We start from the raw sequence: 25,704 nt of genomic DNA, 5'->3' as shown, positions 1-25,704 counted from the left end.
CTGTAATAGCAGAAATTCTTTGGCATATTATTGTGAATTTAGATGCTGTATTCTGTAACAGTGAATTAGTTATTATGGGTTGTTTATAAAAGTTTTACCTTCTATACTGCAGATGTCTGACCACTATGGGCCTAAATTTATTTTTGAGTTAATTCTCACATTCTACCAAAAAGGAAATACAGGATACACACAAATAAGTGCCTTGAATGTGACATTCTGTCTGCCTCTCCCTCTCTCTCCCTCTCTTTGTCTCTCTCTCTCGCATGCACACACACACACACACACAGAGAAAAATTCACTACTTAATAAAGCCATACCATGAATCGCCTCTCTCTATCTCTACCTCTCTTTGAGATACAACATCCCATTATCTAATTTGCAGCAGCCTGGGAAATGCTTCCCTAATAATTTTAATGAAATAGCAGAATACAGACCACTGTAGTTTTTAGGGTTCTGTGGAAATTATGCATAGGAAAACGCTGGAAGCAGATATAGAAGGCATAATGTTTATGCGCGTGCACGCGCGCACACACACACACACACACACACACACACACACACAAGCACCTTAGCTCTCTGGTACACAATGGATTAGACATGATTTTAATTTTTTTTCTTAGTGCTTCTATGCATTCTTCAAATTTTCTACAATGAACATACTACCTTTATATTATATCATTATTTAATGAGAATGTATTGCTGCTGTTGTTATTCCTATCCACGTGACAAGGAGAGTAAAATCTGTATTTCATAGCACAGTGACTACTTCTTAGGATTCCTTGAAACCTTAGACATCAGTGTAGATTCTTAGTTTTTATTTTACTGTATTTCTACCCAGTCCCAGATTTTACTTTATGGATAACTCAGCAGTGCCTCCAAGACTGATCAGTATTTTCCAGCAGCCTTTAGGACCATCAGGCTTCAGTACTATTTAACTTACAAAATGGGTATAGATTCAGGCAAACATACTATCCCCTTACAAACACCATTCTAATATATTTACAAAATAAACACACCCCATTTTATATATGCATACATGTTGATCAAATTGAAAATTCACAGTCGCTATAATTTCATTGCATAAATAGCTTTTTAAAAACTAAAAATGAATTTTACACCCTGATTGATCCAAAAATGGGAAATGGAAAAACTTTGGTTCAGTTGTTTAGCTGAATTTTAAAAGGATAAAAGTATGCCAGATATGTAACACATATGAATAGTACTTCACTGGGGAAGCGATTATCTTATTTTAGAGCATTTATAAATTCAATGAAGTGAAGAAGAAAGAGAAGATTTTTGAACACCTAAGATTTCAGATGATTTTTTTTCACATTGCTAGACTATTTAGTAGTGAATGTGGGATTAACTAACATGACTGTTAATCGGAAAAACCAAATAAGGTACATCATCTATTTCTTTTTCTTTCTTTTTCTTTTTTTTTTTTTTTTTTTTTTGAGACAGACAGAGCCTTGCTCTGTTGCTGGAGTGCAGTGGTGTGATCTCGACTCACTGCAACCTCCGCCTCCTGGGTTCAGGAGATTCTCCTGCCTCAGCCTCCTGAGTAGCTGGAACTACAGGCACCCGCCACCATGCCTGGCTAGTTTTTGAATTTTTTAGTAGAGGCGGGGTTTCACCATGTTGGCCAGGCTGGTCTCGAACTCCTGACCTCAAATGATCCACCCATCTCAGCCTCCCAAAGTGCTGAGGTTACAGGCAGGAGCCACCACGCCCAGCCTCTTTTCTGTTTTTCTAAGTTAAGGGAGAATGTGGCAAGTAGTCTTTTGTCATGATGAAAGATTCATCCTTCCTTTGTCCCCACACATTCAGCAGTGTCCTTTTGTTAAATTGTTAAATTTTCACCTGTAAGGACACTCTCAAATTTCAGCTGTGTTTAATATAGATAATATTTGAGGAGTAAGGAGGGGTTGCATATAGTGTAATTTTCCTTTAGGATATCCCTGGCTAAAAGCCATGTGTTTGAGAATTGAGTTATAGGACTAGAATACAACCTCTGCATATCTTAGACACCGTACCGCTCCTGAAGAAAATGTCCGCTCCATGGTGAGCCGTACCTTCCTATATTTAAAAGCAAAGGTTGAGAAAGAGATGATTGTAAAATCATAACTGGAAATGAGACGTACAGTCAAGGAGGTACACACACCAGTCTCCGGCAGCCATATTACGGTCCCTAACAGCCCTCGCACACTTACAGTGGAGAACAAACCTTGAAAGTTTGTTCTCTACCATAAGGGGAAGATTTGGATTGGTAAATTCCTCCCTGAGCATTCTAGCCCCAGGTTTCATAATTCTTTATTCAGAAACCAAGGGGATGACCCATTTCAGTAGTGGTGGCAGAGCAACGTTCCCCGGAGTAGGCTTTGCATTGTTTTATTTGCGCTGATAGCAATTTTCTGTCCAAATCTGCCTTAGGAAGTTTTCCTCCAGAATAGATGCAAAAGTTATTTCATGCAAATGGGAGTTCCACAGGTCCTCAGACTCTCTTAGTGTGAACCCCAGTATAATAAAAGGGCGGACAAGGAGTTATACTTTATTCTTCCAGCAAAACACTGCTAAAAGTGTGTTATACACTTGATCACTCTTTCTTTGTGCATGAATGTGTGTGTGTGTGTGTGCACAACTATCCCCACTTACTCCGGGAGTGACTCCCAATAAAAATAGAAACTTTGCTGCCTTTGTTTTTACACATTCCTTCTAATAAATCTTAAGCCCAACACATAGAAAGAAGCATAGAAATAACTCTTCTTCAGTATGTTGAAAGAATAATACAGGAATGTGGGTCTCCAAAGTATGTTTGTAATTATTAGAAAAATAAATAAAAAATAGAAATAAATAACTTCATTATATGGAAAGAGCAGGGTTTGGAAGAGTGTGTATTTCTAAATGTACTCATAATTATCTGTCCTCCACAAATCATCATCTGAGCACATGTTAGTCTTTTAAGTTGACAGTGAATCTTTTGCCAAGGCAAATAGTGTCAGGAAGAGACTGGTACCTTTACAAAGTTTTGCAGTTTTCTTTTACTTCAAAATTTTGAAGTCATGATTTAGTACTGTGAAACCAGGAGGCTGCTGTCCTAGCAGGTTCCAAGATTGATTTCTTCAAGTTCATCCTCGCCAGCCCCATTTGACATGTACAAACACAATCAATATAGTTATACCACAGGTAATCACTCATTAGAAGGACTCCATCCATTCCAAGCACTGCGTGTATCAATTTGTCGTTTCATTTTCATGCATGTCAGAATGGTATGTTTACCTTTCAGTGGCATCATCTGAAAAGACAAGGTTAATACCAACTTAATTTCGTTTTAATGGTCATTTAAATTGAATACCTTGATGAACATGACGACTTGGATAGTCTGCTGAGGAAATTCAATCAGAAATGGTCTCAATAATAGAACTGTGGTTTTGATGGATGCTTGTTCATACTGTTGGATTTGGTCTCCACCCTGTTATGCAGCAGAGCAGAGGAGGGACATCACGGTGCCTGGGGCATGTTGATGAAGCTGATATTCATCACAGAACTGCACTCTTTTTTGGCCAAAGCCTGTTGCAAGAAATATCAGTTTTATTGCCTAAGGCTTTGAACGTTCTGTTTTTGTATATAATTGTCATGAAATAGGGTACACAAATTAATATTTCTATTGCTTTTTTGCTTGTTTCTCTGTGAAATTCGTTTCATAGTCAAGAGTCAGCCTTAGTATCGTTGTTTAATAAGATCTCCACCAGCTATGCCAGGGACAGCTGGTCTCTCCTGTGTGATGCCTCGGCACTTTCTCCGAATTCCCCCCATAACACTTATCACATCCTTTTGGAATTATCTGTTCAACTGTTTATTTCTCTGACTGCATTCTGGTCTGCCTATTCCTTAGCAGCTGAGCTGACTTGTATCTCTTTTAGGTGCATACAAAGCTTAGGAGGCATCTAAAAAGCACTCTGTTGACATTAATATTCATTCATAATTGTGTTTAATAAACTTTTGTTCTGTGGTAAAAATTCTTTTTTTACTCACCTATTATTTTTCTTGTGTCCATATTCCAACTGTGAACTGTAGCATTTATTTTTGAGATTTGAGTCATGGGTCATCACTTCTGAAATGCTTATAGTTTAAAACTATACTTTAAATCATGCTTTCAAAATAAATGAGTTCATTTAGAGCTAACAGCCACCTGTGAAGATAGGAACTGTAGTCTTCCTTTGGAAAAAAGGCAGAAAATAGTGACGGGGTTGAATAGGCTATGATTTACTTATTGTGTTTTTTATCCACTCCCCCAATTCCATGTGAGTGGAAATTTCTTTTTTCATTTATTGGTAACTCCTCAACAATCAGATAATCCCTAGGCATAGTAGATGCTCAATAAATATTTATTTGATGAATAAATGATTATGTAAATGAATGAACAAATGTCACTAAACATATATTAAATCTCAGCCAAGCCTCCAATTCTTTCTTGATTAAATGTCCTGCCTTTTCTCCCTATAGCTGTTCTAAACCTTATCCATTGTGATCAAGCCTTTCCCTTCCCTCACGGCCCTCCAGATGAACATCAGAAACCACCCAAAAACCACCTTCGCAGAGAAGAAAGAGGCCTTGAGGAACGACTTCCCTCACTTTCTTGCCCTAAGTATCAAGAGAGCACCAAAATTTCATTTTGGTCTTCTCCCTCACCCCTTCAGGGTTTAACCTTCCACCTATACTGGATTCTACTCGACTCCAGCTTCTCCCGGATGGTTTCTCATCAGGTATCTCATCTCTCCTGCATATGAATCCATTCCCTCTTTGTCTTCTTTCTCAAACCCTGGACATGATACAGCCACTCTTACTCTCTAAATTATATTTCTCCTCTTGGTATCAGCCTCCCTTTCTTCCTTCATAGACAAGAGTCTCCTAGGAGTCTCCTTGCTATGTCCACACATTTAAATCTCATCTACTTCTCCCATCATTTTATCTGATTTCTATCCTCACCAATGCTGCTAAATGGATGATCTGTGATCTCTTAATTAATTGCTAAAATCAATGAATGTGTTTCAGTTCTTACCGTATGTAGTCTTTGTGAAGTTTTGCTTTCTCTTGACCTTTATGTGGATTTTATAACTCCTTTGCTTTCATGACACGCCTCTCTGTTTCTGCCTCTGTCTTAATGACCAGTATTCTTTCCTTTTTACCTGCTCCTTAAAGTAACAATGCTTCCTAATGTGTTCCCTTGGTTCTCTGTTGCTCTTTTTTATATGATCCCTTGGAAAGTCATCCCTATTCCAGCGATTTGGTTGCCACATAAATGCTGATATCTCCTAGATCTAACTCTAATGTCTTGAGTTTTAAATTATAAATCTAACTTTTCACCAAACCCAATATTTTAAAAATTGAATTTCTTATTTTCCCTGGAACCTGTTTATGTTTGAAATTTCATGTCCTTTTAAAATGAGTACTACTATCAATGCAGTAACCTAAACCAGATAATTTAGCCTTAACAATTTTTTCTTCATATGCCACATCTAATTGGTTTTTAATTCCTCTCAAATTGTATGACTGAATAGTTCTTACTGTTCTTTCTACTCATGATACTTTCACTTGAGCTTTTATCATCTCTTGTCTAGAAAACTGTAAAGGTAACTGAGGGCTGTCATTGAATCTGGTCTTTTTTGTCCTTCTATCTATCCACCCTCTATATTGCCGCTATCACTTTATTCCTGACAAAAATCTTAATATCATGCACTGCTGTTTTATTCTTTCAGTGCCTTTTAGTCATCACAGAATAAATGCTAAATTTGTTAGCTTGCCGTACAAAAAGATCTGGCACGTCCCTGACAGCTTCGTCAATTAGGAATCTATGTTATTCCCTGTCCCACCCTCATTTCCTGCCAACCCTGTTCTATTCGTTCCAATCATACAAAATCATTCAAAGACCTCGAATTGTGTTATAGCTTCATCCCTTTAAAAGTATTTAGTTGGTCTAGAATAATCTTTTTATTTACCAATCCTGCTTTCATCTGATAAGCTATTCTTTACTTTTTAAGATACAATTGTCAACAACTCTGTTATCCCTCCCTGATCCCATCCAAAGCGTAATTGACGACTCAGTCCTTCGAATATCTACCATGATTTGTTCATCAACATAAATTTCTTGAACTGACTATAATTTTTCATCTTTATATTTCCAGGGTCTTACAAGAACATATAGTAACTGATCAGTAAATATTATTTGAATTAATTTAAAATTATCTATATTATAATACCAATTATGTATTATCATTTACTTCTATGTACCCCTACTCATTAGTAATGAGCAATTCTTAATTAGTAATTAGTAGATTAGTTTGACCTCATGACCCGCTCTACTTCATCATTGGCTCTCTAATGTCTGTCACATCAGGTTGGTAAATATTAGGTGTTGATAAAAATATTTTTAAGAAACTTAGGTAATGAGTAAATTGTTTCCTAAAATTATGTCGAATACTTGAGAGGATTGTTATATATGCCGGGGCTGTTATGACTTAAAACTATTGCTTCATTTTTTGTTTTTTGGGTTTTTTTTTTTTTTTTGCTTTTTTATTAGTTTATATTACTAAGGACCATATAGTGTCAGAAAATAGGAAGTAGAGCATAAACTATTATAGAGTTTTACTTGAAACACATGAAGTACAATATAATAAATATCTTTTAAAAATGTTAGTGAGGAAAGAACACTTAAAATGAGATCTACTCTCTTAACAGATTTTTAAGTGTACAATAGAGTACTGTTATCTATAGGCACAATATCGTATAGCAGATCTCTAGAACTTATTCATCTTTACAACTAAAATTTTATACCCATTGATTAGTAACTACCAGTTTCTCAATTCTCCCAGCCCATGACAAATATAATTCTATTCTTTGCTTCCATTGATTTAACTATTTTAGATAGCTTAGATGTTGGCATGGATGTGGTAAAAACAGAACACTTCTACACTGCTGGTGGGAATGTAAACTAGTACAACCACTATGGAAAACAGTGTGGAGATTCCTTAAAGAACTAAAATTAGAACTACTATTTGATCCAGCAATCCCACTACGGGTTATCTACCCAGAGGAAAAGAAGTCATTATACAAAAAAGGTACTCACACATTCTTGTTTATAGCAACACAATTCATAGTTGCAAAAATGCGGAACCAACCAAAACGCCCATCAATCAACGAGTGGATAAAGAAATTGTAAGATATACATATATGTATGTATATATACATACACATACATATATACACGTGTGTATATACACATATACATAGATACATGTGTGTACACATACATACGTGTGTGTATATACATATACATACATACGTGTGTGTCTATACATATATACATATATACGTGTGTATATATGTATAGGTGTGCATATACATATACATATATATGTGTATATATGTATAGGTGTGCATATACACATACATATATACACGTGTGTATATACACATATATGCACGTGTGTATATACACATACATATATGCACGTGTGTGTATACACATACATGTGTGTGTACACATACATATATACACACACGTATGTGTGTATACATACATACATATATTTGTGTATATATACACATATACATATATATACATATATTTGTGTATATACACATTTGTATATGTATATATATGATACAATCCTACTCAGCCATAAAAAAGAATGAATTAATGGCATAGCAGCAACCTGGATGGAACTGGAGACTATAATTCAAAATGAAGTAACTCAGAAATAGAAAACCAAACATCATATGTTCTCACTCCTAAGTGGGAGCTAAGCTATGAGGATGTAAAGGCAGAGTGATACAATGGACCCTGGGGACTCAGGAGGGAAAGGGTGGGAGGAGGGTGAGGGATAGGAAAATACAAATTGGGTTCGCTGTACACTGCTTGGGAGACAGGTCCACCAAAATCTCACAAATCACAACTAAAGAACTTACTCATTTAACTAAATACCACCTGTTCCCCAAAACCTATGGAAGTAAAAAATTAAAAAAATAAAACTTACATAAGTGGAATCGTGCAGTACTTGTCAGTCTGTGACTGGCTAACTTCACTAAGCACAATGTCCTCCAGGTTAATCCGTGTTGTCATATATTGCAAGATTTTCTTCTTTTGTTTGAAGTCAAGATCTCAAAGATATATCAGCACTTCCATGTTTATTGCAGCACTATTCACAATAGCCAAAATACGGAAACAACCTACATATTCATTGGTGGATGAAAGGATAAAAAATATTGTATATGTATTCAATGGAATAGTATTCAGCCTTAAAAAAAGGAAATCTTGCAATATAAAAATCTTATAAAAGAAAAAATCTTATAAAAGAAACACTATGAAATTGTTTATTTGAATACATAAAATTGGGTTTTCAAGCATAAGATAACTTGCTATTCCTCCAGACAAAATGAGCTCTTAGAAATTATAATCAAATAAATGTAATTGTGATGAATTAAGTAAAAAAGAACCAGCAATGCATACACTTATGTTTCAGTAAAATTCAGAAGGATATAAAAATGTGAGTAAAAAGGAAATTGGTAAACATCTTTCTATTTTGGCTAAACTCACAGTGTTTTAATAATGGCTGTGAGTATTTTGACAAACACCTGCAGCCCACTTTACCCATCCTTGGTTGGATTTATTATACTGTACACCCAAAGCCGGGAACCCGCAGGTCTGTGATCATTCATATTACTATTATATGAAATTAAACTGGTGTAAAGCCCTAAAAGAAGAGTTCTTAAGACCCTAGCATTACCTGTATATTTGCAAAACAGTAATCCTGGAAATAATCCCCTAAGGATTCCAGAATAGTGAAAGCATATTTAAATAAATTATAAGGCACAGTCAAAATTCACCAGGCTTATATTCTATTCACTACTTAACTGGTGAGTGAGACCTTGATATCAAATACATTATTATTTTCCTGACGTAGCCATAATATTATTCTCACATTTTACCTAAAGCTTCAACTGCAGCAGTAAAAAAAAAAAAAAAAAAAGAGGAAAGCAGTACCTGCTGTAATGTATCTGTTGGTACAGGGCTACTGCACAAACTGGGTATACTTTTCTTGATAGGAAAGCAAGATGGACATAGTGTATCCTCCTCAAAATGTCTGGAAGCTAAGGTCAAATTCCTAGTTCTTCCACGTATTCGTTATATGTCCTCTGTCACCTTACACACATCACAATGAAGTGAAGCCTGTTCCTAACCTTGTGAAGTCTCCAGTTGCAGGTGGGGTGGGGAGAAAATGTATTTGTTGGAAATATGATAGGACTATCAAAATATATGCAATCAGCTACCTAAACTGTTAAGTCAAGTTCATTCTGTTGCAATATAAAATATATTTTTTCATGAAAATAAAAAACTCTGAGAAATTTGACATGTTATTCCAGCTTAACCCTTTAATTTTTAACCTACCTCTCCTGCCCTTTTGAAATTATTTGTTAATAATAACAATGTGTAGCTTAACATTGCTTAGCATTCACCATTCTTAGTAGCATTCGAATTTAATGGTTCAGAACCATATCATTTAAAGTGAAAGAATCATGGGTTTGAGTTTTAGTCCACACCTGCTTTTGTGTGACTAGGACAAGTTACATTCTGAAGTTACTGTCTTTAAACTGAAAATGTATATAATAAAAATACCCACCTCATATTATAAATGTTTTTTGTGGTAGCAACCATAAAGAGCTTAGCACGTTGCAAATATGTAGTAAGCGTAAAATAATATTTAGATTATTTTTATCCCGAAGATTCATTTGTTGAGATAATTAATGCCACTGTTTTTAAAGGCCAAAGTCAGGGCAGGGATGGCTGAATATAATATGTTTTCGTATAAGCAGATGTTCTTTTCTCCCAATTAAACTTCCATGGCCTGTGGTAAGGAAGCAGCAGTGTAAATACCTAGTTCTTCATTAGAATTTCTAAAGGACTTGACTTTCCAAGGAATCAACATGAGAAGGACGACTTTTATGGATTTGCAGTTACATTGGAGACAAAATGAGGAGGGTCTGGATTTCTCTGTAGCCTGTGGGGATACAGCTGGAGTTGTACCAGTTGGTTAACAGTTTTGACTTGGTAAATAAGCTATAAACAAAGGGACTCAAACTATAGGACAATCCGCTAATAAGAAGTAAGAAAAAGTGAGCCAAAAAGTTCACTTGCTTAAAGATTCATCTTTGTATTCAGTTTAGGGAGTTACTTAGATAACAGTTTAGGGAGTTACTTAGATAAATTTAGTTATTAAAGGACTAGAGGCAAAAAAGACTCCCAGTGCTAGGAAGGGCCTGGTATATTATGGAGCAAGCACAGTTTCCTTGCAGCCATTCTCCTGCCCCCAAAGGCAGAAAACCAGCTGAGCTAGGCCTCCTCTCAAAACTTGCCAGCCTTCCTGCTTCCATGTGTGCACATTAGTTATGTTATTGTCTAATAATATCTGCTTGCTTTCTATCTCACAGGGATATAGTAAGAATTAATGGTATGAATTCTGCAAGCTCTTCAAGACCCCTAGAGATATGCAAGATAAATATGCAAGACAAATATGTTATGTTTGTATATATTATTTCTTCAACTTGTTTTGTACCTGGTACATGGGAGAGGAAGAGATATGCATTTATCTAGCCAGCTAACTGATATTTCTGATTTAATCATTATACAATGTATACACATATCAAAACATCAAACTGTACCCATAAATATATATAATACAAATATATGTTGATTAAAAAAATTTATGAGGAATGTCTTTTAAAATAAAATCAGATTTTATTCTTTGAATTTTGAAAAATACATAATTAATTAAAAATAAATTGGTCTTGACTTTTTTGTATCCTCAGCAATGATTTATTTTCATGATAGCTATACTACTAATAAATATCTATACACCTAATATATTTTAATTCTTGGAAATAACCATCAGACCATTCTATCTCAACATTATTTTGTTGTTGTTCAAGCACACCTGCTACACCTGCTCTCTGCCTACTATCCTGGCTTCTCCCATCTTTTTATAAAAACTATCTGAAATAAAGGGATTGGAAATGCACAAAATATATAAATATAAAAAATGCATAAAATAAACCCAAAAAACCACTACAGTTATTATTTAGATTAAATCATTATATTTTTCTTTAGTAAAAGAATATATTTTATGCCCAACTAATTAATGCCTAATGGCATTAATAGAATGCCATTCACTTCAGATAAATAATAATGACAGCAAAGTATTTTAATAAGATGAACAGCCAGCTGACCAGTGAGTCCAGCCCCTTCCTAAGGTGTGCACCCAGTCCCGATTCATCTGAAAGACACCTGCACACGAAGAGGACATGCTTCTGCAGATCCATGTTAAACTGTCCTGTTTTTGAGGAAGGGAAACTTTCCGTAGCAGTATGCTGAGAATATTTTTCCCCTCAGAGCAGCAATGAATTATTTAGTACTTGATTTGTCAAAGAAAAGCTTGGCTACACTACGGTGACAGAGTTATGCTGTAGAAATAGAATATTGTTTAAGAAATTATTGGTGCAAAAAAGGCAACTAAAGCAGAAGGCACAGTTGGTTTTCCAAATATACATACATAGCACTCACATTTATCATTATTCAAGGGCTTTATGGGAAAAAATTCTAGCATGTTTTGCTTTTATAAAACTGCCTTTATGTCCTGTGTGCATCTGTTGGCTGGCTTTTTCCCCAGTCCCTGTCTCTCTGGCCTTCTGTATTGATTTCTTTTAAGGACCCCTTTTTGTCACTTAAGTTGAAGATAAGTAGAATATTTCTTTTTATGTTATCTGCCTACTTCTTAATCTCATATTGCATGGAATTATCTATATTAAATGTATTCAATAACATTTTCAATTCCTTTAATGTGTTTCTAAAAAATTGAATTTTGCTTGTTTTTAACAAATATCCCCCTTTCTCTCCTGTCTCTCTCTTTCTCTTTAAAACTGGCAATTTTCACTATTCAAACTCCTTGTGCATTAAGATCACAATACAGACAGTTCTTGCTTTTCCCAGTTGTTGTGATATGCACAGATTTCAGTTATCCTGGTTTAGTTAAATAATGCCAATTCCCAATGATATGTTCAAGTTTCAGGTACCATAGCATATTAACTGTAAGTAATTGCATAAATTGCAAACTTTGCTGCTAGCCTATCAGCTCACACATCACTACATACCAGGGGAGCATCATTACCGTGACCAATCAAGCCTCTTCTTTCAAAGTCTTTTGGTGACTGATCCTTCACAGCTGTTACTCAGTTCACACACAGACAGCAAAGCATGATGTTGTCTTTCTCTCTTTCTCATCTCCGTGCTAACACCACATGACTGCAAAAAAATAGATACTCCAAGTTGGGAACTGGCCATCAAAGATGGAAATGCAGCAAAGACACAAAACATGCTAACACTGGAAGTGAAATCTGGATTGAACATACATGGAATTGTAGAAGAAATAGCTGATCTAGGGATGCTGACCCTGCTGCCCTAGATTTTACACTCTGCATAAGCTGCCTGGACTCTAGATATACAAACAGAGAATCACTGCAAAGGCAAACTTACTGACATTAATGAGGAAAGCAATTGTAATCAAAAGGATAAAGATGTCCCAGATCAAGTGACGCTAACACAAAATTTCACACAAAAGAAAATCTCAGAGATATTTTATCTCATTGGAAACTAAATGATACAATGTTTACAGCTAATAGAAACTTAGCAAAGGAAAACTGCAATCTACTAAAATGTAGAAAAGATGCTCACTGCTTACTGTAATTTATGCTATTAGAAGGCAAGCATTGTGGAAATGACTCTAGATCAGCATTTTACAAAGAACTAAAGCAGTAATTTTCTTTTTTTTCCTCAGAGAAAAGGTCTCGCTTCATCACCCAGGCTAGAAGGCAGTGGCATGATCATAGTTCACTGCTGCCTCAAACTCCTGGACTCAAGGGAGCTGGGATTACAAGCATGCACCACAGTGCGCAGCTAACTTTTTCTTCCTTCCTTCCTTCCTTCCTTCCTCCCTCCCTCCCTTCCTCTCTTCCCTTCTTTCCTTCTTTCTTTCTTGCTTCCTTTCTTCCTTTTCCTTTTCCTTTTCTCTTCCCTCACTCCTTCCTTTCCTTTCCCCTTCCTTCCTTCCTCTCTTTCTTTCATTTCCCTTTTCCTTTTCCTTTTTGCTTCCCTCACTCCTTCCTTTCCTTTCCCCTTCCTTTCTTCCTTTCTTCCATTTCCCTTTTCCTTTTCCTTTTTGCTTCCCTCACTCCTTTCCTTTCCTTTTCCTTTTATTCTTCCTTCACTCCCTCCCTTCTTTCCCTCCCTCCCTCTCTCCCACTCTCTTTTCTTTCCTTTTCCTTTTTCCTTCCCTCCCTTCCTTTCTCCCTCTCTTCCCTCCCTCCCTCCCTTCCCTCTTTCCCTCCTTCCTTCTCTCCCTCCCAGCTTCCCTCCTTCCTTTCGAGATGGAGTCTTGTCATCTTGCATAGGCCGATCTCTAACTACTGGGTTCCAGCAAGTCTCCCTCCTCGCCCTCCCAAAGTGTTGGGATTACAGGCATGAGCCACTGGGCCCAGCCTAAAGCAGTAATTTTCAGTGTATCTAGCGTTTGAAATGACAGTGTACTACATAAATATTGGTTTTACTATTTTTCATTCCTCTATACATTTATAACTGACAATAAGGTTTTTAACGTGTTGGCAAAATTTTTTAAGGTCACATGACAATTGTACTTTTCCCCACTGATAAATATGATCATATTGCATAGTTTTGCCCTGCACAGTCATATTTACAGCATCACTCTGCTCAGCCAAGTGAGAACTGCCTGTACCTAAAAGTTTAAAATGTAGGAACGTGTGTAGTTCTGTCAATATGGTCTCTTGGATTAAGACTTTAATTATTATTTAAAATATTTACCATATTTTAACAACTCACTGTATACTTCATGATACACTGACTACTACAAATCAGAGGTACACCTTGTTTTAAGGCCATTCTCTAAGTGTGTATGTTCCAGAGAATTCATGTCAAAAAAGCTACCGTTCAGGTATCAAAATCATGATCCTAAAGGACAGTAGGATGCTATCATTATTTTTATTGTAAGAGATGAATGTCATTTTAATATCTAAGGATTTTTTTTAGCTGGGGCTATGTTAACTGTTTGTTTGTTCCTTAAAGTTCTCCAGGTTTCATCTATGAACCCCATCCCTCTGACTTCCTACTGTGGGTCATTTTTCACTTTAAAATTATTACTAAAAATAAGATAATAAGATAGAATCTTAAACGTAATAAAATTAATGAATAAAAATAAACAGGACAGCCATATGAAGAATGCCTCTGCAATTTTCTTTGGCTTTTTATTTTGTCTTGTTTTGTTTTGAAAAATTGCAATTGGGATCATGGTTCATTAGCTTGCTTAATTAACCTTTTATAAAGCTTCTAGGAGTAAAGTTATCTTTCTAAGCTCAGGAGCAAGGACACTTTTTTTTCCTTTCCATAAACAGTCTTGCGTCTTCAGATCTGTGTTAGTTTTCTATTGCTGCTGCAATTAATTACTGCCAATTTAGCGGCTGAAAACAAGAAAAATTTGTTATCTGACAGTCTGGAAATCAGAAGTCCTAAAAGCAAGGTGTCAGCAAGGTTGTGTTATTTCTGGAGATGCTAGGGGAGAATCCATTTCCATTCCTTTTCCGATTTCTTGGCCTTCGTTCTTGTCCTTGCATGTAGCTCCCTACGTTGTAGAACCAGCAACAACGTGTGGAATCCTGAGGCTGCCATCACTCAGGCTCTCTGCAGTTGAGGAATGTTCCCCACAATTTCAAAGACTCACATGATTAGATCAGGTTCCCCCGGACAATCCCCATCCCAAGATCCTTAACTTGAATCATTACTGCAAAGTCCCTTTTGCCATGCAAGCTAACATGTTCACAGGTAACCAGAGTTAAGGGATGGGCATCTTTGGAGGCTTTTATTCAGCAGCCACCATATGTGAAAATGAGAATGAGAAAAGGGTTGAATTTCTCCTGACTAGGCATTTACGAAACTCAGAGCCATGAAATATATCTAGTTGTCTTAACTTCAAGTTTTGCTTTGCCTTCTTGACCTCTTCTCTGCTATTGCCTCTTTCCTATCTATTTGCTGTTTTTAATGTGTTAAGTTTCTTATTATACCTGTGCTTTTACTACAAATGAATAGTGGTTTTATTTTTTCCTTCACTAACAAGTAAACAAAAATAATATTTGCAGTGCATATTTAATACTTCAGCCTTTTAACTTGCCAAACAGTAATGTTAAAAAGAAAAAAACTGATGCCATATCCGTTTTATTAATAATGCAAAAATGTAAAATGGATATGATTATAGAATAAAGGCATTTCTTTCAAAGAAAATAGAATGGCAAATTAGTATTTATAACCCCATCTCTCTAGTTTCATTTAAAATGCAGATAAATGAGATTGTGTTTTGATTTTGTGTACTTTTTTTCTTGTTGTGAATATATTGACTTGAACTGTCTTGAGTAATGACAACGGAAGTAGAGATCAAATGACGAAAGTATTTTGGTGTTTTATAGTTATTCCGTTTCACACGGATAAACTGACCAAAATGGAAGCAACATACTTTTACTTCACTCAATTTGGAATATTTGGTTTTTGAATAAACATTTAGTTGATTTTTCTCTAAATCTTCTGGTAGGTTAGTTTGGATAAAAATTGCACATGAGGATATAACCGTATTTCTTTGCAAAATGGCAGAATCTCAAACAGGTACCGTTTTGCTGAGATGAATACAAATGCATTAAAGATGCCAATCAATCATTTTCTCTGCAATTATAGACTTAGCACCCCACACCTCTCTTTTTGGAGCAGCTGCTTGCTTTCACCTTTCATAGAATGTGTTTCCATGGCCTCTTTTGAGTGGACAGTGAGCCAGGCAGCCCAGAGATAGGTCCCTGACTCAAACTAGACCGATTGAATTCTTGCTTCCAAGAACTTAGAACATGGAGAGACTGAGTCAGTTAGTTGGCGGCGCTATTGCTGTGAGCTCATGTAGGAACTGGGCTGGAGTGACTGTTTTCTGTCATGTGTATGACATAGCAGAAAAATCTAGGTGAGGAAGTAAGGAAAGAATGAAGAGATTCTGAGAGAGAATAAATGTTGAAAGAACGAGTGAGGAGGGGAATCACTGGGGCCACTCGAGTTTGTTACTGGTGCTCTGTTTTATGTTTTTGATCTTGAATCCCATGTATCCTTCTAATAAATTCATAAGTTTATATTTAGATGAGGCAAAGGTGGGATTTTTGGTTTGTCGTTTGTTTTTTGAGACAGGGTCTGACTGTCGCCCAGGCTGGAATGCAGTGGTGCAGTTATGGCTCACTGCAGCCTCAGCCTCCTGGGCTCAGGCAGATCCTCCTACCTCAGCCTCTTGAGTAGCTAGGAGTACTGGCACGCACCACCATGCCCAGCTAATTTTGTACTTTCTGTAGAGATGGGGTTTTGCTATGTTGCCCACGCTGTTCTCGAACTCCTGGACTCAAGATGCCTGCCTTGGCATGCCAAAGTCCTAGGATTACAGGCATATGCCACCGTGCCTGGCCACAAAGGTTTTTTGTTTTTGTTTTTGTTTTGTTTTGTTTTTTGCCATTCGTAACCCAAAGGTTTTGTAACTAAGACCTTAATCTATGTGAACACTCCACTTATCTAAATTGTGCAATAAAATGTTTTGATGAATATCTTGAGGTCAATTAGGCATGTCTGGTGTAACAAATATTTAATGAGTGCTTGTTATGTATCATATGCAGAACTAGGCTCTAGGACTACAAAGACAAGTAAGACATGGATCCTATCCAGTCAAACATTTTTCCTGCAAAAGGAATAAGTGCAAGTCCTGCTCTGGGTCAGACAAAAGAAAGAAGCTCCCTTTACTGTTCATTTTTAATGCAGGGTAAACCTTCAATATTCAATAACAGTGTGTTTCCATGTTAACAATGATTGGATGTACTGCAGCAATTTTTCTGATCATTCAGATCTGTCAAATTTGAATTTGACTCTTTATTGAAATAGAATGAGTATAGTAAAGGAATGATGGAAGTGTGATGAATTTAATCAGAAGAATTTCCTAGATGAGATTTTTCAAGGATTCCATGAAATCCAGTTATACTTAGCCTTAAGAAATTAAAAAAAAATGTATTTTAGGGGAAAGCCCATTTGCAATTGTTATGCTTTTTTTCCTCTGCCTCCAATGCCAAATCCCTTTATTTTGAAGTACAGCTCATTGTTCAGGAGCTCAGGCTCCTGAGACAGACTTACTGGTTTTGAATCTCATCTTGCCATTTTCTCATTAGGTGATTTCAGCTAACTCAAATACTTGCTCTCGTTTCCTCATCGTTAAAAAGGGGATAGAACATACCTACCCAATATAGTCATTTTGCAAACTAAGTGAGATAAAAATGTAAAACTCTTAAAACAGTACCCAGTACATATTAGCTACTGAATATGTAACAGTTGTTGTTATTGCTCTCTTTAAATGTATACGCAGAAACACAGCACAGCTGTGCTCACACAGCAAACACACTCAGCCCAAGTAGAGGGAAGCATGGGGTCTAAACTCATTATATTCTATAGGGCCTAAGGGATGGGAAGTGCTCCAATAAATAAATGTATGTAGAGTGACTACATTATGTTCAGCATCTTAGAGTTAAGTTAGTTAATTATGCAAGCCATCCCTCCAAAAATAAAAACAAATGATTTCTTCTTCCTTTATCCAGCTTTGCTATTCAGTACAAATCAGTTTTATTGTTATTTATTTGAACATTGATTTTTCTCTGGTGCAATAATTAATGGAAAACGAATGTTTATGGTTACCTTTTTTTCATCAGAGAATAAAGATGACTGGGATACAGAGAGCAAATACAGATTTATTTCTGACAATAGTAGTTTAAATAGAAAAGTTATATGCTAAGTTATTCTTTCCCTGTGAAACTTATACAAATATAACTGAATTTATTTGATGGACTGAGGTTAAGTGAATGTGGTATAAATATTTATAAAACACAATTGTATTATATACATAATTTATATATACAGGTATATGTGTGCAGATATATGTATGTGTGTGTGTATATATATATTTTATATATATATGTAATGGAGTATGTACTGCGGAATAAACTCGACACACAAAAATAGTGCTATGAGATTTGAGATTTAAGTACCCCTGTCACAAAATGAGAAAATGAGAAGATAAGGAAATATATCTCAATCATCAAAAACAAACCTACAACGTGCCTCTATGGGACATTACGGTTACTAATTATATATAAGAATGTTCATTCTTGTAATGATCAATAAATGCTTAACCCAGATAAAATATTATACTGTTGCCACATTATCCTGTTCAAGGAAATACATCCCTCATGTTATCTTAACCGTCCCTCCCTGTATTAATCAAGTGTTGATGACCATGACTTAAGGCCTGAAAATATTATGGCAGAAAACCCTGGCAGAGGGAAAGCCAAATTGTAGTGCCTGGGGTTATTTATCAAGCTGTCACTGAACACCTAGGGAAGTGCAGTTCCAGCTAATTTATTACAATGTTGTTTTCATTTTTACTGGGCGCAGAAGGACTCACATTGAGGCCATCGAGCTGTGATCTGCACTGGAACAGACGCAGTGACAATGCTACTTCACTTGCACATTTTTTATGGCATGTATTTTTCCCTGACTCTGCTATTTTCTCATAACATTTAAGAATGTTCGTTAAGCTCAAAAGAAGCTAAGCGCTATTTATATAGGTGGAATGAAGATGGAGAGGGGAAGGTGAGAAGGTTGAAACAAATGAATGCTGCCCCAAGAACTACGCGCATGTTACTTGCAAATGTGACTTGTTTAAACCCCGAATGTCTTACATGGGGTGACTCTATCAACGAGACCTTTAAGCTGCAATCCAAATGTGGTGGTGCTCCACACTGAAAGGGTTGAGAGTGGTATCGAGCTGCTGGAATTGCTGACTCTTTCTTTTTCCAGTATAAATGCACATACAAAATGAAATTGGGGATAGTGGAGACTGATGAGTGGTAAGTCACAACACCTAAAGAAGTGAAGAATTTGTCTTAATCTTGTGCAAACATCACATAATAGATTCTCATATTTTCCTCCCATACACTTAGAAAGTAGCTGATTTTAAATACTCATTTAAGATTTGCCTCCTCAAACATATTATGAACTAGGAATCAGTCATTGTAAGTTGTGGATATTTCCTGATGACATGCAATAAATCTAAATAAATACATGTATATGTAAGTATATATACACATGTGTATACACATATATAGGCATACACAAATATAATTAATATAAATAAAAGCAACATCTAATAGAAATGCCTACTAAATATTTAGTTCAGTTTTAGAGTGGAAGCAAAACACAAAAAAGTCCTTTATCCTCAAAGTTTAGGTATACATCTTATGTTAGCCCATTCTCACTCTGTTACCCACATGCCATTACAGACTTTATCCATATGAACGAGCATTTGCATTGGAGAGTGACGTCTTTGTGCATCAATCATCTAAGAACGTGCAATGATATTAACAACACATGTTGTGTGAATATATGATACACCTATAAATGTAGAAATTGCTTTCACATCTGTTATTTCATTTTAAACGTCCAGCAATCCTTAGGAACATAATAAAGTGGCTTATCTTTTAGCAGCTAAAGTAACTGAGGAACAAAGATGTCAAAGGTCTACTTTATGTTACTACTTCATTAGTGACAGTCACAACTAGAACTAAGGACTATGGGTTACTAAATTGTGTCTTATATGGATATTTTAATAGAAAATTTGGATGTTATTACTGATGCTTTATACATCTATGCAGATGTTAGATTTTTTTGATGCAATTACACTTGACCCTTGAACAAAATGGGGGAAGGGACACTGTCACCACCACAGCTGAAAATCTATGTGTAACTTTTGACAACTCCAAAATTTAACTACTAATAACCTACTATTCACTGGAAGCCTCACCAATAACATAAACAAACAGTTGATTAACACTTATTTTATATGCTGTATGTATTACATACTGTATTCTTAAGTTATAAAAAGGAAAATGTTACTAGGAGAGTCACAATAAAAGAGGCCAGCCCCAGTGGCTTATGCCTATAATCCTAGCATTTTGGGAAGCCTAGGCAGGAGGATCACTTGGTGCCAGGAGTTCGATACCAGCCTGGGCAACTTAGTGAGACCGCCATCTCCACAAAAAAGAAAAAAATCAGCCGAGTGTGGCGGTGTGTGCCTGTAGTCTAGGTACACCAGAGGCTGAGGCAGGAAGATCACTTGAGCCCAGAGGAGGTTGAGGCTACAGTGAGCTGTGATTGCTCCAGTGCTGGATGACAGAGCAAGAAAGACCCTGTCTCAAAAAAAAAAAAAAAGAAAAGAAAAGAAAATATATTTACTATTCATTAAGTGGACCTGGATCATCAACATAAAGGTCTTCCTCCTTGTTGTCTTCACTTTGAGTAGGTGGAGGAGAAAGAGGAAGAGGAATGGTTGGTTTTGCTTTCTCAAGGGTGGTAGAGGCAGAAGAAAATCCACATGTGAGTGAATCCATGAAGTTCAAACCCATGTTGTTCAAGGGTCAACTATGTTTAACTGGTTTGAGGGCACATACTAACATGGTTACAGATTCGGCATACTTAGGGGCCGGGTGATTACATTATTACGGACCATAATCGAACTCCAGCTATGCTTCTTCTCTTTTGGGATGTATCAGTCAAGTCAATAAACATTTATGGAGCCCCTACTTAGGAAGGGCTTGGTTCTAGGATTGGGAAAGTTAGTTTACAGTATAAATTAAAAAGCAAATACTACAACTAGAAAAAATCCTCATATCTCCCATTCTACTGACAGTCAATCAGTAACATTAGCTTAGTAAATTGAGAGATGTCATTTATCATTAGAAAAAGTTAACATTCCCCTGAAATTATTATGGTCTAATCTCTCTGATAGCAATATTAAACACTAGCTGTAACTTTTTCATTTTACAGACTGAAATTAAACTTACTGTTCTAGTTTTGGAAAGCTATAAAATAAAGGTCTTGGGAAATTATTTTGGCAGTTTCTGCAATTATAAACATAGACTTTCTCCAACATAATCATTGATTAGAGACATACAAGAAAAAGAATGGGTGAATAGATGTAAACATATCTTACCTAGCGTTACTATCCTATTTAACACTGAAATAAAAGAAAAATAATTAATTATGGATAAATTATCAAAAGTTTTACACATGCTAACAGAAAAATCATTTTCAAAGGTTGTTAGTAATCTAGTTTACAGAATGTTGAAGTTTACATTTTTTTACCTACTTTAATCAAATTTATCTTTTTCTATACCAAGGCAGTAAAAAGTTAAAAAAAAATTGAAATTCTGGATCAACTTAAAAATAATTTTCGCCTGTAGTCCCAGCTACTCGGGAGGCTGAGGCACGAGAATGGCGTGAACCCGGGAGGCGGAGCTTGCAGTGAGCCAAGATAGCGCCACCGCACTCCGGCCGGGGCAAAACAGCAAGACTCCGTCTCAAAAAAAAAAAAAAAAAAAAAAAAATTTGTGTGTTTTTCCTTTTCTGTCTGCCTTTTAAAAATACTCCAAACTAAGTATGTTCAATGTCCTCAATGTGCGATTTGTGTTCTCAATGTGTCTTTTGTTTGTGACAAATATCTCTTCAATAAAAACTTCAATAGACAATGTTGTAAAAGTATCCAGAATACTTTTATAAAACCAAATGCAGGCCTAACAAAATAGAGAGGATCCTGTTTGCACAAATGCCATTGTTCTGGACTCTTTTCTCTTCCAAAATCCTCTCTACTTCACTTCTTAACTCCAGCCTTTGTTGTCACAAATACGGTAGCCAGTATACACATATGGCTGAGAACTTGAAATGTAGTTAAACCAAAATGAGATGTGTTGTAAGGATAAAAATACATATAAAATTGTAAAGACTTTTATATATTTTAAAAGAAAATATTAATAATGATTATATATTTAAATTATGTTGGATGTTGGGTTAAATTATTAAATGTTATATATAAAACATACATATGTACAAAATATATTAGTAAAATTATTTCAATCTATAGCATTTGAATCTTTCATATGAAAATTTAAACATGTCTGTGGCTAACAATATATTAATCTACTTTATTTGGAAAACAAGTGAAATTACTTACTTATAAATAATTTATGGTGAAAGGAGAAATCACAAGGGATATTCAAAACTTTCCAACGGAACAAATATGAGAATGTAACATTAAAAATTGTAGAATGATGATGAAACAATGCTTCGAAGAAAATTTATACTTATTGGTTTATTGATTGTAAAAGAATGATGTACAGTCATCTTAGTTTCTAGCTTAAGAACTGAAACATTATACCAATTTTAGGGGCAGTCAGAAAAACCTCCCAACCCATTTTATGAGGTTTCTGTACTGTTGAAACAAGTCTGACAATGACAACTCAGCCAAACAAAAAGTTTAGATCAGAAACTCTCAGGCTACACATGCAAAATTCTATAATAATCATTAGCAAATCAAGCCCTCTAATACATCATGACATCATGAAAGAAATACACCGTGACCAGTGGGTTTACCCCAGAAATGTAAGCTTGGTTTAACATTAGGAAAAATCAATTGATTGATATAATTCACCATATGAACAGAATGAAGAGAAAACCCCTATGATTATCTCAACTGATGCTGGAAAGAGGTCTTGACAAAATTCAACACCTATTTATAATAAAACCTCTCAGCAACTAGAAAATGAGAGAAACTTCCTTAAATAATGAAACACATCTATGGAAAATCTACATCTGACATTATAATTATTAGTTAAATATTAGAAGAGTTTCACCAAACTTGACAATAAGAAAAACCTAAATACTGAAACGAAATACAACATTCATCCATCTGGAGAGTCAATATTTTCAATATAGTCTTTCACTCCAAATTTTCAAAATTTCATCAGGGTTTTGGTAAAATTGACAAGCTAATCAAAAAATTTCCATCTATTGTAAACCACCTAGAATAGGTAAAGGAATTTTTAAAAGAAGAACAAAATTGAAAGATCTTTTTATTATCTGATTCCAAAATTTGCTACAGTGCTGTGGTAATCGTGAGAGTGTAGTAATGTACTAAGCACACAAAAATGGATAAATGTAACCCACCACAAATAGACCCTGTAGAACTAATTTATGGCCACAGTACCAATTCAACTTAATGGGGATATCTTTCAACATACAGTGTTGGAACAAATAAATAAATATTTTTACTAAAGACAAGAACCGTGACCTAGATGTTACTTAATGCACAACTTTAATCCAGGAAGAATTATAAACCTAAACATAAAAGCTAGAACAATAAAGCTTCTAGAAAAAAAAAAAGGATCATATGTTCATCGCATTGGAATAGGACAATTTTTTACAGGATATAAGAAGCACCAAAATGAAAAGGACAAAAAAGAAAAAAATGACAAATTGGAATTCATAAAAATGAAAATTTAAAGATGTAAAAATCAACCACAAAAAAAAACAAGTGACTGTGGTAGGCAGAATAATGTCCTCCACTTCAAAGATGCTTATATTATAACCTCCAGCACCTGTGACTATGTTACCTTGCTTGGCAAACGGCACTTGTAGATGTGATGTGATTGAATTAAGGATCTGGAGATGGAAAGATCGTCTTGGAGGACCTGGGTGCTCTCAATCTCATGACAAGCCTTCTTACAATTGGAGAACCCTTCCTTGCTGAGTTCAGAGCAAATTACTTTGAGTGACTACTCTGTACTTTAGTTAGTCAGGGATTTGTGACTACAGAAGAATGGTTAGAGAAATGCAACAGGCTTGGCTTGAAGACAGAGGAAGGGTCCACAGGCAAAGGAATATGTGCAGCCTCTAGAAATTGCAAACAGCAAAGAAAGGGACTCTGCTCTAGAGCCTGCAGAGAGGAGTGCAGCTCTGCCAACACCTCGATTTCAGCCCACTGAGACCTGCATCAGACTTCTCACCTACAGAACTGTAATACAAAATAAATTTGTGCTGTTTTAGGCTACTACGTTTGTGGGAATTTATTACACAGCAACAGAAATGAAAAATGGGCAAAGACTTGAACAGATACTTCACCAAAGATAAAAAATGGCCAGTAAGCAAACAAGGTGCTCCACTTCATTAGTCTTTAGGGAAACGCAAACTAAAACTAGAATGAGATACCATTCTGCACCCACTAGAATGATTATTGTTTGAAAAAACAACAACAACAACAACAGGAAACATACTCCATTGGCAAGGGTTTGAAACAACTCATGGGACTGTAAAATGGCCCCATCATACGTAAACTGCTCAGCACCATTGTGCTAGAGCTAAATATATACTCTATGACCCAGGAATTCCATTCCTAAGTGTTTACCCCGCCAAAGAAATATAAACATATTTCCACAAAAGAACTGGTACAAGATTTTTCAGAGCAAACTTATTCATAAGGCCGCAAAACGGGAAACAACAATGCCATCAATAAGGAACTGGATAAGCAAATAGTGATCTATTCCACCAGAAAAATACTAGCCAACAACTTTCTTTAAAAGTGTACTACAGCTACCCATCATCACGTGGATGAACTTCCAAAACATTATGTTGAGTGACAGAAGCCATGGACAGAGGAACATATACTTTTTATTACATTGTTATAAAACAGATAAATTAAAATTAAATCCCCACTTTACAGTGATAGAAGTCAGAAAATAGTTGGGAAGCATTGAAGAGAAAGAGAATTTAGAGCCCTTCTAGGGTGATGGTAACAGTCATATGAGGTGATGGTTTCGCCTATAATAGAAGACGCTCAACACCCTTTTAAATAAACCCTTACGATCTGTGCATTTTACGTAAATTTAAAGGAGAAATTTACTCTAGTCTTGCACAGGTATATGTGGGTGACACATTGCCTCACTCCTGTACTGCATACCTCCATTCTCTGCTGTAGCTCTTCTGAATGCCTGAAATGGGGGAACGGGGAGAATTTGCTCTGCTCTCAGGCATACACAACCCAGGAGTGGAGGAGTGTGAATGCCCATTTGACCATCATCGTCCAGCAAATGATGGGAGACAGCAGATAAAAGCTTCTCTTCTTTCATTCCCTAGGGAAGGAGATCTAAGGTCTATTTCATTAGTGTCCTCCGAGGCTTCTTTTGGGATAGAGTGGCTAACACAAAGCCTCACCCACATGTTGCTTTTCTCTGCTAGATCTTTTATACCACTCTCTGAATCGCCAACTCCCAAGACACATTACCACATACACTAACTGAATACAAGAATTTGTCTCAATCTCTTGTTGGGGAGCGGGGAACAGGCTAAAGTGTCCCATTAAATGTAACTCCTTCTCCCCAGTAGTACGGATATATATTTTTCCTATCACTGACCCTTTTGCAGCTATGGTATTTTTAATAAAGAGGTTGCCCTCCTAATATAATACTTACATATAATAATTGTATTGAAATTTATGTATCTTTTTTAGATTTATATAATATAAACAATCGTAATCAGAAATTACTACACAGGTTTTTAAAGGCCAACTTTATTACAGCATGTTTTATATGTTAACTAGTTAGAATACTTGCAGAAATGTTTTGTCTACTACTCGCAATCCTTTGATA

At 35.8% G+C, this 25,704-nt stretch overlaps 2 long non-coding RNA genes across 4 annotated transcripts in view; one reads left to right on the top strand and one right to left on the bottom strand.

Moving 5' to 3' along the window:
• Positions 1-25,704, top strand: part of LOC105374976 (uncharacterized) — a 289,589-nt gene that overhangs the window by 219,179 nt on the left and 44,706 nt on the right. The gene's annotated exons all lie outside the window — the stretch shown is intronic.
• Positions 3,015-25,704, bottom strand: part of LOC102724749 (uncharacterized) — a 66,451-nt gene continuing 43,761 nt past the window's right edge. The window contains exons 3-7 of one of the 2 annotated variants that reach the window (NR_187790.1): positions 12,202-12,352; positions 9,678-9,902; positions 8,034-8,226; positions 4,033-4,215; positions 3,015-3,292 (exon numbers count right to left, since the gene is read on the bottom strand). This is a non-coding gene — a long non-coding RNA (uncharacterized LOC102724749). The remainder of the gene's footprint in view (positions 3,293-4,032; positions 4,216-8,033; positions 8,227-9,677; positions 9,903-12,201; positions 12,353-25,704) is intronic. The other variant, NR_187789.1, reaches the window with a different exon arrangement.

Source organism: Homo sapiens, chromosome 6 (assembly GCF_000001405.40).
Source record: "Homo sapiens chromosome 6, GRCh38.p14 Primary Assembly".
Classification (NCBI taxonomy): Eukaryota; Metazoa; Chordata; class Mammalia; order Primates; family Hominidae; genus Homo; species Homo sapiens.
Note: the sequence above shows the minus strand (reverse complement) of the source record. Positions and strands in the feature narration are given on the sequence as shown.